General features: G+C 41.2%; 1 protein-coding gene, 1 long non-coding RNA gene, 1 other non-coding gene and 1 pseudogene across 5 annotated transcripts in view; 1 reads left to right on the top strand and 3 right to left on the bottom strand.

The window, feature by feature from the left end:
* On the bottom strand, nt 1,375–4,185 carry PABPC1P4 (poly(A) binding protein cytoplasmic 1 pseudogene 4; annotated as a pseudogene).
* Nucleotides 1,994–2,058, bottom strand: MIR10527 (microRNA 10527). Its single transcript, NR_162118.1, has one exon. It is a non-coding gene; the product is annotated as a microRNA 10527 (primary transcript).
* Nucleotides 3,565–16,876, top strand: RXYLT1-AS1 (RXYLT1 antisense RNA 1). Its single transcript, NR_126167.1, has 4 exons — nt 3,565–3,792; nt 9,383–9,520; nt 13,414–13,514; nt 16,781–16,876. It is a non-coding gene; the product is annotated as an RXYLT1 antisense RNA 1 (long non-coding RNA).
* The window catches only part of RXYLT1 (ribitol xylosyltransferase 1), a 29,654-nt gene continuing 27,249 nt past the window's right edge, over nt 16,159–18,563 (bottom strand). For all 3 annotated transcript variants that reach the window (NM_001278237.2, NM_014254.3, XM_047428078.1), the window contains one exon: nt 16,159–17,046. In NM_001278237.2, the coding sequence (NP_001265166.1) occupies nt 16,629–17,046 (418 nt within the window). In that variant the 3' untranslated portion in view covers nt 16,159–16,628. The remainder of the gene's footprint in view (nt 17,047–18,563) is intronic.

Below are 18,563 nucleotides of genomic sequence, written 5' to 3'. Positions count from 1 at the left end.
CTGGCTCAGCACAAATCACCAACTTTGTATTACTATTATTTTAATTTTAATTTTTTGGACAGAGTTTTGCTCTGTAGCCCAGATTGGAGGGCAGTGGCATGATCTCGACTCACTGTAACCTCCACCTCCTGGGTTCAAGCGATTCTCCTGCCTCAGCCTCCTGAGTAGCTGGTATTACAGGCACATGCCACCACTCACAGCTAATTTTTTGTATTTTTAGTAGAAACAGGGTTTAATTATGTAGGTCAGGCTGGTCTTGAACTCCTGACCTCAAATGAATCACCCGTCTTGGCCTCCCAAAGAGCTGGGATTACAGGCATGAGCCACTACGCCCAGCCATATTATTATTATTTTTGAGACAGGCTCTGTTTCAAAAGGCTGGAGTGTGGTGGTGCAATCACAGCTCACTGCAGCCTTAACCTCCTGGGCTCAAGTGATCCTCCCACCTCAGCCTCCTGAGTAGCTGGGACTGCAGCTGTGCGCCACCATGCCCAGATAATTTTTGTAATTTTGTAGAGATGGGGTTTCTCCATGTTATCCAGGCTGGTCTCAGAACTCCTGGGCTCAAGTGATCTGCCCGCTTTGACCTCCCAAGGTGTTGTGATTACAGGTGTGAGCCACCACGCTCGGCACCAACTTTATTATACCAGCCTACATTTTATTCCTTTCCTTTCTATTCTTCCCTCCCTCCCTTCCTACCTTTCCTCCTTTCTCCCCTACTTTTTGTGATCTTTTATAACTGCTGAAATGATCACATGTATTCCTTGCTACAGTGCAAGGTATATTGGGATAACAAAATATATGCGGAAGATAATAGACATATATAAGTCAAAGGGTCCCTCTATTACTTTTATTATTCATTAAGTTGAGCCAAGATTTTGTTGGCTTTACAATTAATTGGGAGATACAAGCATATGATGCAAAACCCATGCAGTATTAAAATGTATACAGTGAGGGAAAAGAGTCTGTTTTACACATCAGCTTCCCGCCTAAGGGACAATCTCTGTTGCCTGTTCCTTAATATATGTATTTTAAAAGCGATATCCTCTGCACATGGTTAACAAAATGGAGTGGAATTTCAGGGTGATATTATGTTCCTCATTTAATGGAGAGAAAAAAGCATATGCCCTCAAATACCCTTCTGCCTCTTCTCCCCTCCCCTCCCCGTCCCCCACCCCCTTCCTTCCTTCTTTTTTGAGATGGGGTCTTGCTCCGTCACCCAGGCTGGAACACAATGATGCGATCTCAGCTCACTGTAACCTCTGCCTCCCGGGTTCAAGAAATTCTCCTGCCTCAGTCTCCTGAGTAGCTGGGATTACAGGCGCGTGCCACTATGCCCGGCTAATTTTTGTATTTTATTATTATTATTTTTTTCACCATTTAAGGAATTGTTATTAAAGCAATAATTTTATAATCCAAATTACGTTTCCTAGCTCAGTTATCAATTCTGTTACTTAAAACAGAACTGACATTTTGAACTATTCCACAGTAAAGAATTACAAAATTAAAGAAAGGAATGCTTTAAATTTTTGCACTTTGCTGAAAATTTTTTCCCAGAGTCTATAAAACATTAATTGGTTTTCATATTTTACTATTTTTGTGTTTTTTTAAAATTTTTAAATCAATAAGTAATCTAGGACTAGCATTATGTTTGCTAGACCTGGCATTTTCTCGGTACATAAGGTTCAAAGTTTCTTTTCCTTTTTAAATTTATTTTATATTTTGCAATGTTTATTAAAAAAATAATATTTACATTTTTCGATGTTTAGATATTTTTCTTCTGTGAAGCACAAGTTTCTTTTCATGGTACCTGATCAATTTTAAACAGTTGGAACACCGGTGGCACGGTTAACTGCTTTCTGGGCAGCCACTTCAGCTTGGTGGGCTTGTAGTACAGCTACAGTTTCATTAACCTTAGAACGGAGTGACTCTGGAGACTCCAGCATATGAAGAAGTTCTGAATTACCAATCTCCAACAACATGCCAGTGATTTTACCAGCAAGAGTAAGGTGCATGGCTTGAATAAGAGGAAACAGCCGTTCACCCAACATTTGCTTTTGCTCTTGAGCATGGGCAGATACCAACATGGAAGCAGTCAAAGGTTCCTGACCTTGTACATGAGCAGCAGGCTGTTGCATTGTAACTTGTGGCTGTGCATTAAGATGTTTCTGAGGACTGCGAACTCCCGCAGCATAGTTATAATGTGGAGTGGCAGCAGCAGCAGCTGCAGGACGTGGACCCATTGTCTGTGTCGATGTGTTAGCAACACGCTGTGTTGACATAACTCATGGAACCTGTGAAGAAGCTGGTCTCATAGTACTAAATGGTGGTCTAGGAGCAGCCGGGCGGATAGCACTGGGCCTATTTTGGAATGGATGGGGTCTGGCACCCTCAGCAGTCCAGCGAGGACTTGGTCTTAGTTGAGCAATTTGGCTAGGAGGATAGTATGCAGCACCGTTCTGAGTCTGTGGGATAGCTGCCATGAAGTAACCTGAAGGAGGTGCTGGCTGGTAGGGGTTGATTTCAAGATTGGGCACAGCTCGTACACTTGCCATTCTTTGCATATACTGGTTAGTGAGGTGAGCCTGGCACTCTTCTTTGCGCTGAGCTAAAGCAACATACAATGGCTTTGTGGCCACAATTCTACCATTCATTTCTGTAACTGCTTTAGTGGCTTCTTCTGGTGAGGAGAAACATACAAAACCAAACCCTTTGCAGCGACCACCCTCCATCATAACCTTTGCACTGGTGATTGTACCAAATGGAGAAAACTCTTTCCGGAGACGTTAATTATTAATGCCATCATCAAGATTTTTCACATAAAGATTAACACGGTGGTATCTGGTGATCCTATCTTGCCTCACCTGTTCAAATTTGCGCTTAAGTTCTGTCTGCCGTTCCACTTTTTTCTGAGCTCTACCTACATAAATTTGTTTTCCATTGAGCTCCTTTCATTTCATCCACAGCTTTCTGTGCATCTTCAAGCCTTTCAAAGCTTACAAATCCAAATCCTTTAGATTTTCCACTTTCACCAGTCATTACTTTCACATTTAAGGCAGGCCCAAACTTGCCAAAGAGATTCTTAAGGCGCTCATCATCCATGTCTTCTCCGAAATTCTTGATGTAAACATTGGTGAACTCTTTCACGTAGCTCCAAGTTCAGCTTCTCGTTCTTTATGAGACATAAATCGTCCAACAAATACTTTGCGATCATTTAGGAGCATTCCATTCATTTTTTCCATAGCTCTTTCAGCTGCTTCCTGTGTCTCAAAGTGTACAGATCCATAGCCCTTGGAATCATTTTCATCACAGCCCACCTTACATGAAAGGATGTTACCAAAAGCAGAAAAATGTATCATACAGTGCTTTATTATCAATGGATTTGTCCAGATTTTTAATGAATATGTAGCCCACTCCACTTTTGCGAAGTGATGGATCACGCTGAGACTACACGATGCGTACTGGCTTGCCCTTTATAACATCAAAATTCATAGTGTTCACAGCATGCTCCGCGTCCGCGGGCTACTGGAAGTTCACATACGCGTAGCCCAAGGAGCCGTGGGTGATCATGTCCCTGCAGACCCGGATGGAGAGGATGAGCCCGGCCGCGCTGAACTTCTTGTAGAGCATCGCCTCGGTCACGTCGGGATGGAGGTCCCCCACGTACAGCGAGGACGTAGCTGGGGGCACTGGGGTTCATCTCGGCACTGCTGCTCGCAGGGCCACAGGCCGCGACCTTTCCGTGAGAGGAGGAGAGCGAATGCTGGGGCTAGGGGCCGGAGCTGGGGGAAGGTGAGCGGGGGCAAGCGCAAGCGCAAGCGCAGAGGGACAAAAATCACCCGGAATCGAAAACTACTTCACCGCCCCAGAATGGTGTTGATCCGCTGCCGCTGGCTGCGGGCGAAGGTGGAGGTGTCAGTCCGGACAGCGGGAAGGCCTCGGTCTCTTGGTTCCTTTTTGGAGCTGCTGCGGGCGGGCGAGTCGGCCTCGGCTGCTTCACGGGGTTACTTTATAAAAGAAGAAGAAGAAAAAAATAAAAGTCTATGGCAGGGGAGAGGCGGATTTTTTGTAAATTGTGGGAAAGTTTTTAAAATATTTTTTTAGATTTTTTTTTAATAATAAATGTATGTTCCGAGCCTGGAGCACACACTCCGCACTCTGAGCACTAACTGCCGGGAGAAGGGGCTAATTTTTGTATTTTCAGTAGAAACGGGGTTTCACCATGTTGGCCAGGCTGGTATGGAACTCCTGACCTCAGGTAATCTGTCCGCCTAGCCCTCCCAAAGTGCTGGGATTACAGGCGTGAGCCACCACGCCCGGCCAGTTTTTCTTTTTTTCTGATGTAGGCACTTGTAGCTATAAAATTCCCTCTTAGTACTGCTTTTGCTGTATCCCATAGGTTTTGGTATGTTGTGTTTCCATTATCATTTGATTCAATAAATATTTCAATTTCCTTTTTAATTACTTCATTGATCCACTGGTCGTTCAGGAGTATATTGTTTAATTTCCATATGTTTGCATAGTTTCCAAAATTCCTCTTGTTATTAATTTCTAGTTTTGTTTCATTGTGGTCAGAGAAAATGCTTGATATTATTTCAGGGTTTTTTTTAGACTGAGTCTCCCTCTGTCACCCGGGCTGGAGTGCAGTGGCGTGATCTCAACTCATTGCAACCTCTGCCTCCTGGGTTCGAGTGACTCCCTTGCCTCAGCCTCCCGAGTAGCGGGGACTACAGGTGTGTTCCACCATGCCTGGCTAGTTTTTGCATTTTTAGTAGAGATGGGGTTTCACTATGTTGGCCAGGCTGGTCTCAAACTCCTGACCTTGTGATCTGCCTGCCTCGGCCTCCCAAAGTGTTGGGTTACAGGCATGAGCCACTGCACCCGGCCCAGTTTTTTTTTTTTTTTTTTTAATGTTTTAAGACTTATTTTGTGACCTAATAGATGGTCTATTCTTGAGAATAATCTATGTGCTGAGGAAAATAATGTGTGTTCTGCAGCCATTGGATGAAATGTTCCATAAATATCTATTAGATCCGTTTGTTTTATAATGCAGATTAGGTCCAATTCATTAATTTTCTATCTGGAAGATCTGTCCAGTGCTGAAAGTGGGGTGTTGAAGTCTTCAGGTAGTATCATATTGGGAACTATCTCTCTCTTTAGCTCTAATAATATTTACTTTATATATCTGAGTGCTCCAGTGTTGGGCACATATACATTTAAAATTGTTATATCCTCTTGCTGAACTGACCCCTTTATCCTTACATAGTGACCTTCTTTGTCTCTTCTTTAGATTTGTCTTGAAATCGATTTTGTCTAAGTATAGCTACTCCTGCTCTTTTTTGGTTTTTATTGGCAGGGAGTATCTTTCTATCCCTTTATTTTCAGTCTATGTGTGTCTTTGTAGGTGAAGTGTCTTTCTTGTAAGCAACAGATCAGTGGGTCTTATTTTTTTATCCATTTAGCTACTCTATGTCTTTTGATTGGAGAGGTTAGTCCATTGAAGAATTTACATTCAATGTTATTATTGATAAGTAAGAACTTACTTTTGCAATTTTGTTAATTGTTTTCTGGCTGTTTTGTGGTCTTCTTTCTTTCTTTTCTTCCTGTTTTCCCTTAGTAAATATTATTTTCTCTGGTGATATGATTTAGTTCCTTGCTTTTTGTTTTTTGTGTATTCATGGCATGTTTTTTTCATTTGAGATTACCATGCGGCTTGCAAACGCTATCTTATAACCCATTATTTTAAGCTGATAAAAACTTATCACTGTTTGTATAAACAAACAAGCAAAAAGAAACCTAATAAAAAGTTTACACTCTAACTTCATCCCCCCTTTTTAATTTTTTGTTGTTTCTATTTATATCTTATTGTACTGTTCATGTCTTAAAAAGTTGTCATAGTTATTATTTTTGATTGATTCATCATTTAATCTTTCTGCTTATGACAAGAGTAGTTTACATACCACAGTTACAGTGTTATCATAGTCTGTGTTTCTCCATGTACTTATTTATTACCAGTGAGTTTTGTACCTTTTCTTTCAAATTGAAGAACTCTCTTTAGCATTTCTTGTAGGACAGGTCTGGTATTGATGAAATCCCTCAGTTTTTGTTTGTCTGGGAAAGTCTTTATTTATCCTCCATATTTGAAGGATGTTTGGACTGGATATACTATTCTAGGGTAAAAGTATTTTTTTTATTCAGCATTTTAAATATGTCATGCCACTCTCCCTTGGCCTGTAAGATTTTCACTGAAAAGTCTGCTGCCAGATATATTAGAGCTCCATTGTATGTTATTTGTTTCTTTTCTCTTGCTGCTTTTAGGATCCTTTCTTTATCCTTGACCTGTGGGAGTTTGATTATTAAATGCCTTAAGGTAGTTATCTTTGGGTTAAATCACCTTAGTGTTCTGTAATCTTCTTGTACTTGGATATTTATATCTTTCTCTATGTTTGGGAAGTTCTCTGTTATTATCGCTTTGAATAAACTTTCTACCCCTGTCTCTCTACCTCCTTTTTAAGGCCAATAACTCTTAGATTTTCCCTTTTGAGGCTATTTTCTAGATCCTTTAGGGATGCTTCATTGTTTTTTATTATTTTTTTCTTTTGTCTCTTCTGACTGTGTATTTTCAAATAGCTGTTCTCATGCTCACTAATTCTTTCTTCTGCGTGATTCATTCTGCTATTAAAGGCCTCTAATGTATTCTTCAGTATGCCAATTGCATTTTTCAGCTGGAGAATTTCTGCTTGATTCTTCTTATTTCAATCTCTTTGTTAAATTTTTTCTTATAGAATTGAATTCTGAATTCCTTCTCTGTGTTATCTTGAATTTCTTTGAGTGTCTTCAACACAGCTATTTTGAATTTTTCATCTGAACATTCACGTATCTCTGTTTTTCCAGAATTGGTTCCCACTGCTTTATTTAGTTTATTTGGTGAAGTCACATTTTCCTAGAGTGTGTTGATACTTAAGGATGTTTGCTTGTGTGTGGGCATTGAAGAGTTAAGTGTTTATTGTCTCACCTGAAGCCAGCAAATCCCAGAGGTTCACTGTCTGGGCCAGACTACTGCAAATGTTCCCTTAAGGCTCAAGGGCTCTTAAGTCAGCTTTTTTTTTTGGATGGTCCCTGGCCTGGGACTCACCCTTCATGGGGGTGTTCTCCTCTTGGCCCAGGGCAGGTCCAGAAATGCCCACCAAGGGTCAAGTCCTAGAATTGGGGACCTCATGAGCCAACTGGGTGCTCTACCCAGCTGTGGCTGTGCTGTTACCTAAGGTGCAAGACAAAGTCGCCTTCATGTTTTCCTCTGCTTTTCTCAAGCAGAAGGAGTTTTTCCCTGTAGTTACCACAGCTGGTAATATGCTGAGTCTCACCTGAAGCCAGCAAGTTCCAGAGGTTCACCAACGCTCTTGATGTAGTACGTGGGTATAACTGGTGGTTATTCAGAGCCCAGGGGCTCTTCAGTTAGCAGGTGATGAATGCCACCAGGACTGGATCCTTTCCTTCAAAACAGTGGGTTCCCTTCTGGCCCAGGGCATGTCTAGAAATGTCCAGGAGCTACGGCCTGGAACAGGGAGCTCATGACTCTGATGCTTTGTCCTGCTGTGGGTGACCTGGCATCCAAGATTCAAGACAAAGTCCTCGTGGTTCTTCCCTCACCTCAAGTGGAAGGAAGGGGTCCTTTTGGAGCTGCAAGCTGTGCAGCCTGGAGTTAGGGGAGGGGTGATGCCAGCACTCCCTTTGTTATGCCAGCTAATGTCTCAGTAGTCATGTACCCCCCAAGTCCACTGTCTCTGGGCCTAGTTCAGCACTAGGACTCACCTATGAGTTGCAGTCCTATGACCTAGACTACCTTTCAAGTTTATTTAGAGACCTAGAGCACTTTAGCCCTCAGTGGCAAGGTTTGTGGGAACTCAAGTTCAGACTGCTGGGGTTGGCAATTCCCCTCTGGCTAGGGCTGGTTGAAAGACCCCCTCTGTGGGTGGATGTCAGCTGAGTTTGGTCCGGTTTTCCTTTCTGCTATAACAGGACAGCACCAAGTTTAATGCCTCATAATTGCTGTATTTTCCCTCCCCCAGCACCCATAGATGCTCTTTGCACCATGCCGCCAATGCCATGGCATGAGGAGGGGTGGCATTGATGATTCAGAACTGTTTTCTCTATCTCTTCATTGCTCTTTCAGCAATACAAAGTTAAACTCAGGTATGATAAGGGCTTACTTGATTTTTGGTTCTTATGAAGGTGTTCTTTTCTGTGTAGACCATTATTAAATTGGTGTCTCTGCAGTGGGGGGTGGGAAGGAGATCGGTGGAGACTTTTATTCCACCATCTTGCTGTGCCTTCCCGTATCCCATTACTGATAATGTATTGATCAGTTGGTTAAGTTGGTGCTTTCTCAACTGTAAACTTGTATGTTTTTTCCTTTATAACTAGTTAAGTATATTGCAAGGAAATACTTTGAGACTATGTAAATCTCCTGCTTCTTATCAGACCACTAATTTTAGAAGAATTGGTTAACCTATCAGAGAAGAGTGATTATCTTTCATTTCCTAGAAATGCATAAGCCAGACAATGAGGGGAAGCATCCCTGAAAGCCAAATGTGCTAGTCAGGATGGGCTGGGTTATGCTGTGACAACAAACAACCCTCAAATCACAATGACTTAGTACAGTAAAAATTTATGTATCTCATTTTTCATGTTCATTGTGAGTTGCTGGGGGGTTCTTCTCACTTAGGGATGCAGGCTGACTGAGGTCCATTTGGACACAAGCTTCCCTAACTGGTGAGGTAGACAAAGAGAATGAGAGGCTGAGTGCAGTGGCTCATAGGTGTAATCTCAGCACTTTGGGAGGCTGAGGCAGGTGGATCACTTGAGGTCAGGAGTTCAACACCAGCCTGACCAACATGGTGAAACCCTGTCTCTACTAATAATACAAAAATAAGCTGGGCGTGGTGGCGCATGCCTGTAACCCCAGCTACTTGGGAGGCTGAAGCAGGAGAATCAATTAAACCAGGGAGGCGGAGGTTGCAGTGAGCCAAGATTGCACCACTGCACTCCAGCCTGGGCAACAAGAGCAAAACTCTGCCTCAAAAAATAAAAAGAAAAAAAAAAAAGAAGAAGAAGAAAAAATGGAATGAGATGATCATACTTTGGCTTCTCCCAGGGATTGAAACACATTACCTACATTATACTCTGTTGGCTAAAGTAAGCCACAATGATAGTCCTAGCTTCCAAGAGGTCCACTGAGTGTAATCCTAGCACGTGCTCAGGAGAGTAGAACTGGAATGCTTGTGAATAGCCTCCAGGACTTTAACACCATGTCTCCTGTACTTCAGGTTTCACTAGTAGGGTGTGGTAACTCAGACTATTTCCAATATTTTGTCTCTTTCAGAAGATGGAGTATACACCTCCACCTCTTTGAGTTCAGGCTTGCCACTGTGACTGCTTTGGCCTTTGGAAACTGGGCTGAAGGGACAGGGTGCCAGTTCTAGGCAGAAACTTTGAGATCCAGGGCATGACTCATCACAAGGTACGGAAATGATTGTCCTGTCCGGTTTTGATACTTCACTGTGAGAATAAAATATTTCAGAGATGGGCTACTCCTTCCTCACGCGTTTTGGAAAGACTAAGACACGTGGGACCAAGTTGAGCAGGGCCCAGCCATGCCCTGCACAGTTGCAGCGGACAGGCAACCTCAGTGTAATGAGGACAAGAAATACATGTCTGTTTTTGTACGCCACTGAGATATTGAGGTTGCTTATTATCAGGCCAGGACTAGGGTGCTGAGAGTAAAGGACTCTCATTGGGGCAAGCTTCAGGGGGTGCCAAACAGCATAGTAATCAAGGTGAGTGATATTTTCATGCAATTACTACCACCAAAAGTAATGTAAAATAATCCATGATGAACAAAATATCCAAAGTCAGAATCAAGACCAGATGAGCGGTATAGCTTAGCAAAAGCTCACTGAAGAAGAGTTTTTATGCAACTAAAACAAACTCTAGCTGGAGTTTTAGCAAGAGAAGGGAAGGAACAGAAAGCCAGTAGGAAATAATAAAAAAAAAAATGTCAACAGCAGTTAGAAATGTGTTTCTGAGTTAATGATTCATTATTACGTTTCTCTGTTTTGTTTTTAGTGAATTTTTAAAAGCTTTAAACACATAAAGCATCTCAAACAACAGATTGCAAAAGGAGAGTAAATCAAAGAGAGAAAAACGCAAACAAGGAATGTTTTAAAAATTTAGGCCCAAGACCGGGCACGGTGGCTCACGCCTGTAATCCTAGCATTTTGGGAGGCTGAGGTGGGTGGATCACCTGAGGTCGGGAGTTCAAGACCAGCCTGGCCAACATGGCAAAACCCTTATCTCTACTAAGAAAAAAAAAAAATACAGAAAGTAGCCAGGCGTGGTGGCACACGCCTATAATCTCAGCTACTCAGGAGGCTGAAGCAGGAGAATTGCTTGAACCCAGCGGGCAGAGGTTGCAGTGAGCTGAGATTGTGCCACTTCACTCCAGCCTGGGTGAAAGAGCGAAGCTCCGTCTAAAAAAAAAAAAAATTTAGGCCCAAACTGCACCTCCCTGGAAAGAATTAGGGGCCAATTTGGAGCAAAGTGGTGATGGTTTAGTGAGGCCCCTCCAGCCTGACAGGGGAATTCCTCTTCTGCTATGTGGTTTTTAAAACCAAGGCTTCACTACCCAGGAAGTTAAGTTGCAACAGTAGTGTTTTCCATTTTCATCTCAGAAAGGTAAATAGATAATTTATTTAAAGCAATTCAAATCTATCTCAAGCAAGACAGACACATAGAAACCATAGCTGAATCGAAGATAAGTTTAAATACCAGGTTGATTTAGCCATCTGGATATTTTGGCAACCAACAGACGGAAGCTTATTTGACTAACTTCTCTCAGTAAACAATCCGAGAATCTGTCATTTGTGTTGGGATTGATACAACCAGTTATCATAATGAAAGAGGCAAAATGTGTATTCTAAAGGACAAAGGCTTCAGCATCTGAGATTTTCAAGTGCTTAATGTGTTAATGTGTGACTTTTTTTTTTTTTTAACATTAGAGACTCTGCAAAATTTAAAGGCCGACAATGAGATTAAGTCCTAGAAACTGTGGTTTGCTGCCTAGAGCAGTACCTGCAATATAGTAACTATTCAATAGGTTTGTGTAAAAGGAGTGTTTTAGTGAAACTTTAGTGGAAGTTTGCCACACACTAGACTGTAAAAAATGTACTATATTCACTTGCATAATTTGCTTCTTTTTGGAAAAAGTTATTTTAACAGTAAAGCAGGACACATATGAATCTTTGCAATAAGATGTAGTTCAACAAAAACGCATCTCGACAGTTGAACAGCCTAGACCGTACTGTCCCCTGCTGTGGCTGCTTTGGCAACAACTTCACCTCTAGCACAAATGTAGGACTCCTAGGGAGTGAGATTGCAAGTCAAAAAGAAAGAATGCAGTTTCCTTTCAACTGGTAACTTTAAAAATATCTGTATTAAAAAAATCTGTATTTCTGCTACAGGAAATAACCCAACTAGAATGTACAAAACTAGAAGACACATTTTTGCCTAATTAGCTTACTTAAATAAAATAACTATAACTGTTAAAATAGTGTTTTAGGCCGGGTGCAGTGGGTCACCTGTAATCCCGGTACTTTGGGAGGCCGAGGTGGTTGGAACTCTTGAGGTCAGGAGTTCGAGACCAGCCTGGCCAACATGGTGAAAATCCGTCTCCACTAAAAGTAGAAAAATTAGCCAGGTGTGGTGGTGGGCACCTGTAATCCCAGCTACTCGGGAGGTTGAGGCAGGAGAACTGCTTAAACCCAGGAGGTGGAGGTTTCAGTGAACCAAGATTGTGCCACTGCACTCCAACCTGGGTGACAGAGTGAGACTTCATATTAAAAAAAAAAAATAGTGTTTTAATTACTGCTTTCATGGTAACAAGTATAATGAATGACTATCAATAATTGGCGATGCTTGTGAATACTGATTTTTCATAGACATTTAAGCTGTTGTTTTATATTTATGAAGGTCTTATGTTAGAAACTATTGATAATGTATTAAACTTTATATTTCAGAAGTTCTACTTGCTAGTTATAGCTTTAAATCTCAAATTATTTTGTAGATCAAATAATATATCTCATAGGTAAGATTTTTTTATACAACACCTGATTGTTTCTTCAATTTGTAATTAATCTCAGTAACATCAAATTGTTTTTGTGGTAGAAATTTACCACCTGAAAAAATATTACATTATTTAAAAAATTGCCTAAATAAAATATAAATTTGAAAAACAGTACAAGATTTCATGAATTTATTAATTAATTTATTTTTTTCAGACAGGATCTTGTTCTGTTGCCTAGGGTGAAGTGCAGTGGCGTGATCATGGCTCACTGCAGCCTCGACCTCTTGGGCTCAAGTGATCCTCCCATCTTAGCCTCCTGAGTAGTTGGGACTGCGGGCATATGCCACCATGCCCAGTTAACTTTAGTATTTTTGTAGAGCTAGGTTTCACCATGTTGCCCAGGCTGGTCTTAAACTCCTGGGCTCAAGTGATCTGCCCGCCTTGGCCTCTAAAACTGCTGGGATTATAGGCGGGAGTCACCATGCCTGGCCGATTTCATCAATTTAAGTGTATGAGTGTTAAAGAAAAGCAAGGGTGCTGTTTAAGTTCTTCAGCTTCATTGTTACAAATAATCAAAAGGGAGAGTTGTTTGATTCATTCTTTCCCTCTAGGACAAAACATAGTCTCTGTCGTGAAATAAGAATTCACTCACAGTGTAGATACACCTTCCTGGCACCATGCTGATTAAAACATACTTTTAGAATATAATATCTCAAAAAATATGTTTAGATGTATTTGTTATGCTATAGATTCCATTACTTTGTTAGAGACTCAAAATTACTGTGGCTTATACATGATAAAGGTGAAAAAAATGTTCAAAGCTCCTTTTCTGCTAGAGTTTTATATTACAGTGGAAGGAGGTAAACTAACAAAGAAATATATCTAGTAACTGAATGAAATGAATGTTATTTAGCTACTGAAATCGTGGTATGAATGACACATTTTTTTTCAGAAAGAGAAAAAAGCTTATATAAAAGTATACCCAAGAGAGCATGTTTACTGAACAGATAATGAGGGAAAACTCGAGCACTTGTTGAGGGGTAGAAGAAGACAAGGCTGGAGAAATAGGTTGGAGTCAGATTGTGAAGGATCTTGGAATAACAATTTATAAAATGTTAATTTTAGCTGGGTGCAGTGGCCCATGCCTGTAATCCCAGCACTTTGGGAGGCTAAGGCAGGTGGATCACTTGAGGTCAGGAGTTTGAGACCAGCCTGGCCAACGTGGTAAAAACTCCATCTCTACTAAAAATACAAAATTATCCGGGCGTGGTGGTGCATGCCTGTAATCCCAGGTACTCAGGAGGCTGAGGCAGGAGAATTGCTTGAACCCAGGAGGTAGAGGTTGCAGTGAGCCAAGATTGCACCACTACTGTACTCCAGCTTGGGCGAAAAAGTGAGTATCTGTCTCAAAAAGAAAAAAAAAGGTAATTTTAAGATATAGGCAACAAAATGCCACAGATGCCTTTAATTGATTGTGACCTGATAGTATTTCTATTTTAGGAATATGTGTGTGTGTGTCTCCTTCTCCTTCTCCTTCCTCTCCTTCCCCTCCTTCTTCTTCTTCCTCCTCTTCCTCTTCCTCTCCTTGTCTTCCTCCTTCTCCTCCCCCCTCCCCCTCCTTCCTCCTCTTCTTCCTTTTCTTCTTCCTCTTCTCCTTCTCCTCCTTCTCCCTCTTCCTCTTCCTCCTCTTCTTCTTCCTCTTCCTCTTCCTTTTTCATACGGGATCTCACTCTGTCATCCAGGCTGGAGTGCGGTGGTGTGATCATAGCTCATTGCTGCTTCAGCCCCCCAGGTAGCTGGAACTACAGCTGCATGCCACAACCCTTCACTAATTTAAAGTTTTTTTGTAAAGATGGGTCTCACTACGTGACCCAGGCTGGTCTTGATCTCCTGTCCTTAAGTGATCTTCCTGCACTGGCCTCTCAAAACTCCAGCATTACAAGGCACAAGCCACCGAGGCTGACCTATTATTATTCCTTCATGGCATTTTTCCTTCAATGAACTTGACATTTCAGATTTAAAGTTTGTTGAAATTGGAAATGATTAACTTGCACCCATGAAACTAAGGCAGTGCTGAGAGTTGGAGAGGCAGGGAAGACACACTATTGTGGTTGTCCCTCTGAGACAAGACAAAATCTGCAAATGAGGGAGAGGTGGTGGGGATGGAGGGAGAGGCCTTATTCTAGGAAGACTTGGGGGTAAAAGGCACATAATTTGGTGATTAATTGGCGGAATAGGGAGGAATAAATATGATGTTACAGATTGTAGCTTGGGAAACAGCTAATGAAACCATTTACTGAAATTAAAAATGTTTGAGAGGAAATAGGTTTGTGTGTGTATATTGTGGAAAAAGACAATAACGAATACAGTTGTAGTTATGTGGTTTAAGTGCCCAAAAGACATCTAGGTGGGGCTAAAAGAGCCATTTGAGGGCCTGTGACACACTGAAGATGCCAAGTCATATGCCAGACAACTTACAGCAAGCGGGACTCTAATTCTTTCTGAAGATACTAAAGAACTATAGCCATGCATGGCTTAATGACAGGGGTATGTCCTTAGAAACACATCCTTACATGGTTTTGTCATGCAAACATCATAGAGTGTACTTATGCAAACCTGAATAGTACAGCCTACTACACACCTAGGCTATGGCTCCTAGGATGCAAACCTATATGTATAGCACTTCACTGTACTGAATACCATAGGCAATTGTAACACAAATGTAAGTATTTGTGTAGTTAAACATAGAAAAGGTACAGTAAAAATATGATATAAAATATTAAAATGGCACATCTGTGTAGAGCTTTTATGAATGGAGCTTGCAGGCCTGGAAGTTGCTCTGAGTGAATGAGTGAGTGGTGAGTGAATGTGAAGACCTAGGACATTACTGTAAACTACTGTAGACTTTATAAACCCTGTATATTTAACCTACACTAAATTTATAAAAAAATATTTTTCTGGCTGAGTGCGATAGCTCACACCTGTAATCCCACCACTTTGGGAGGCCAAGGCAGATGGATCACCTGAGGTTAAGAGTTCAAGACCAGCCTGGCCAACATGATGAAACCCCGTCTTTACTAAAAATATAAAAAATTAGCTGGGCGTGGTGGCAGGTGCCTGCTATCCCAGCTACCTGGGAGGCTGAAGCAGGAGAATCGCTTGAACCTGGGAGGCAGAGGTTGCGGTGAGCCGAGATCATGGCACTGCACTCCAGCCTGGGCAATAAGAACAACTTCGTCTCAAAAAAAAAAAAAAAAAGAAAAAGAAAAAAGAAAATATTTTTCTTTCTTGACGAATAAATTAATGTTAGCTTACTGTAAATTTTTACTTTATAACTTTTTAAACCTTTTGATTATTTTATAATAACACTGCTGAAAACATTATACTGCTGTACAAAAATATTTTTTATATCCTTATTTTATAAACTTTAGTCTATTTAAAAATTTAAAAAATTTGTTACTTTTATTTTCTTACTTTTTGTTAAAAATGAAGACACAACCGCATTAGCCTAAGCCTAGACAGAGTAAGAATCATTAACATCACTGTCTTCCACCTCCACATCTCACCCCACCACAAGGCCTTCAGGGGCAATAATAGGCATGGAGCTGCCATCTCCTGATAGCAATGCCTTCTTCTTCTGGATACCTCCTGAAGGATCTGCCTGAGGCTGTTTAACTTTTTTTTTTTTTTTAATAAGTACAAGTAGTACACTCGAAAATAATGATGATATGGTTTGGATCTGTGCCTCACCCAAACCTCATGTTGAATTGTAATCCCCAGTGTTGGAGGCAGGGCCTGGTGGGAGGAGATTGGGTCATGGAGGTGGATTTCCCCTATGGTGCTGCTTTCCTGGTAGTGAGTGCTTGTGAGATCTGGTTGTTTAAAAGTGTGTAGCACCCACCCCCTTTTCCCTCTGCTCTGGCCACGTGAAGACATGTCTGCTTCCCCTTCGCTTTCTGCCAGGATTGTTAAGTTTCCTGAAGTTTTCATGCTTCCCGTACAGTCTGTTGAACTGTGAGCCAATTAAACCTCTCTTCTTTATAAATTACTCAATCTCAGGCATTTATTCATAGCAATGCAAGAACTAATACAAATTGTAAAAAGTATAGTATAGTAAATACATAAACCAGTAACATAGTCATTTATTGTCATTATTAAATATTATGTACAGGACATAATTGCTGTACTTTTACTTGACTGGCAGTGCAATAGATTTGTTTACACCAGTATCACCACAAACACGTGAGTGATGTATTGCAATACATATGTCATCACTAGGCTATGACATCACTAGGCGATAGAAATTTTTCAGCTCCATTATAATCTTATGGGACCACTATCATATATGTAGTCTACCACTGACTGAAATGTCATTATGTGGCATACATAATGTAGAGTTTTCAAGGGTACCTTAAAGAACATCTATAAATACATACACACACAAACACATTTATACACCCAGTAGTCAAAATGATTTTAAAAATCACATGTTAGCTCAAAAAGATAATTAACTTTTATTATTCATTAAAAATGAGCTTTCTAAAATATTAGTAAATTTCATTTTAAGCTCTGTCTTGAAGTGCTGATACCACTGAAGTAACATTTTTCTTCTTTCAATTTTTTCTTGTAAAATTATAGTTTTCTCTTTTTCTAAAACAGCAGGGAGTTCCTTCCAGTTCTTGATAAAGATAAAGGGAGCACCCATGGACTTGAGTAACTGCAGAGGAGCACCGTGGTGCACAGATGTATTCCCACAGTTGCCAGCTGTCATCACGTCTTCCACCACAGGAATGGAGCCATAGGAGCAAGCCTCATAGATTCGATAGCATTCTGTGTTTACTCCGACCGGGCACAATGTGAGATCACTCTGAAGCAAGGCATCTTGGTAATTCTTAAGACTTTCATTTGTTTCCTGAGGCTGCCAGCTAGAAAATCAGAAAAACAACTGTAGTTTTCACTTTACTAAGTATATAGTTTGTGAACAAAAATACCTTATCTTTTAATAAAATCAGTTTCAGGAAATGGTGAAACTTTATAGAGATGATAGGCATAAGAGATATCCAAAATCCTGGCCCAAACAGATTTCTTAAAAATGTTGAAGAATTGGAACATTTTACAGTTGTACATTTATAAAATCTAGGAGTCACCGTAACACTTCTGAATGGATAATAATAATTCAACCGATACTTTGGGAGTGCTAGGTCCTCTCTTCCCTACCTTGCCCTCATGGAGCATATATTCTAGTTCTAGTGGTGGAGATGGATAGTGACCAAGTGAAGTCAGTAAATTATTTAGATGGGGTAGAATACTGTGAGAAAAGAGCAAAGGAGTAAGTAGAGCAGGAGTTTCTAAGGGGGTAGGGTTGCAATCTTAAATAAGTGATGAGGGACTGTCTTACTGCGGCAGCATCTGAGCACAGAGTTGGGGATGAAGGAGCAAGCCACGTAGATCTGGCGGGATAAAAGAGCAAGCAAGAGTGAAGGCCATGAGACAGCATGTGCCTGGCATGTTCAAGGAGCTGCGGGGAAGCCAGGGTGGCTGAGGTAGGGTAACTGAGGGAACAGGCGCAGAAGATAAAGTCTGAATGGTCACACGGGACTCTATCATGCAGGCTTTTGATCATGGGGTGACATGACGTGATGTAGGTTTCATCAGAATCAATCTGGCTATTGTGTTGAGAATGGACTGTACAGGGGCAAGGGTAGAAACTGAAAGATCAGTAAAGAAAGATAGACGCGGCTGGGTGCGGTGGCTCACGCCTGTAATCCCAGCACTTCATGAGGCCAAGGCGGGTGGATCACCTGAGGTCAGGAGTTCGAGACCAACCTGGCCAACAAGGTAAAACCCCGTCTCTACTAAATACAATAATTAGCCGGGCGTGATGGCGTGCACCTGTAATCCCAACTACACGGGAGGCTGAGGCAGAAGAATCGCTTGAACCTGGGAGGTAGAGGTTGCAGTGAGCCGAGATCCTGTCACTGCACTACAGCCTGGGCAATAAGAGTGAAACTCAGTCTCAAAAGAAAAAAAAAAAGATAGATGCTTTCTCCTGACTATTCTCAGTGAAATAAGCAATAGGGTCATAAAGTAAGAAAGGCGGAGGTGTTAGAGTGTAGGAGAGAAGAAGGTATAAAACAGCCTTCTAGGAGAGTGGGAGAATATATGGACAAGGGAAATATAAGACTGCTGGGCACCTGAGGTTCAAAGTCACGTGTTTAAATAAAGGTCAATTAGCACCTTTCTCCAATTATGTGTAGTTGCATGGGTGCAGGCATGGAGTAGGCAGAGAGCTGGATTTAACCAGAGTTATGGTTTGCCAGATTAGGGAATTAGGGAGCTGAAGGTATAGGCAATTATGATTGACAATGAAATTTAAGTTAGGTGAAGAATAAAATGAAGAAAGGGGAGTGAAGGACAACAAAAGGGTAGTAGGAACAATAGA

This window comes from Homo sapiens, chromosome 12, assembly GCF_000001405.40.
Source record: "Homo sapiens chromosome 12, GRCh38.p14 Primary Assembly".
NCBI classification, from domain to species: Eukaryota; Metazoa; Chordata; class Mammalia; order Primates; family Hominidae; genus Homo; species Homo sapiens.
Note: the sequence above shows the minus strand (reverse complement) of the source record. Positions and strands in the feature narration are given on the sequence as shown.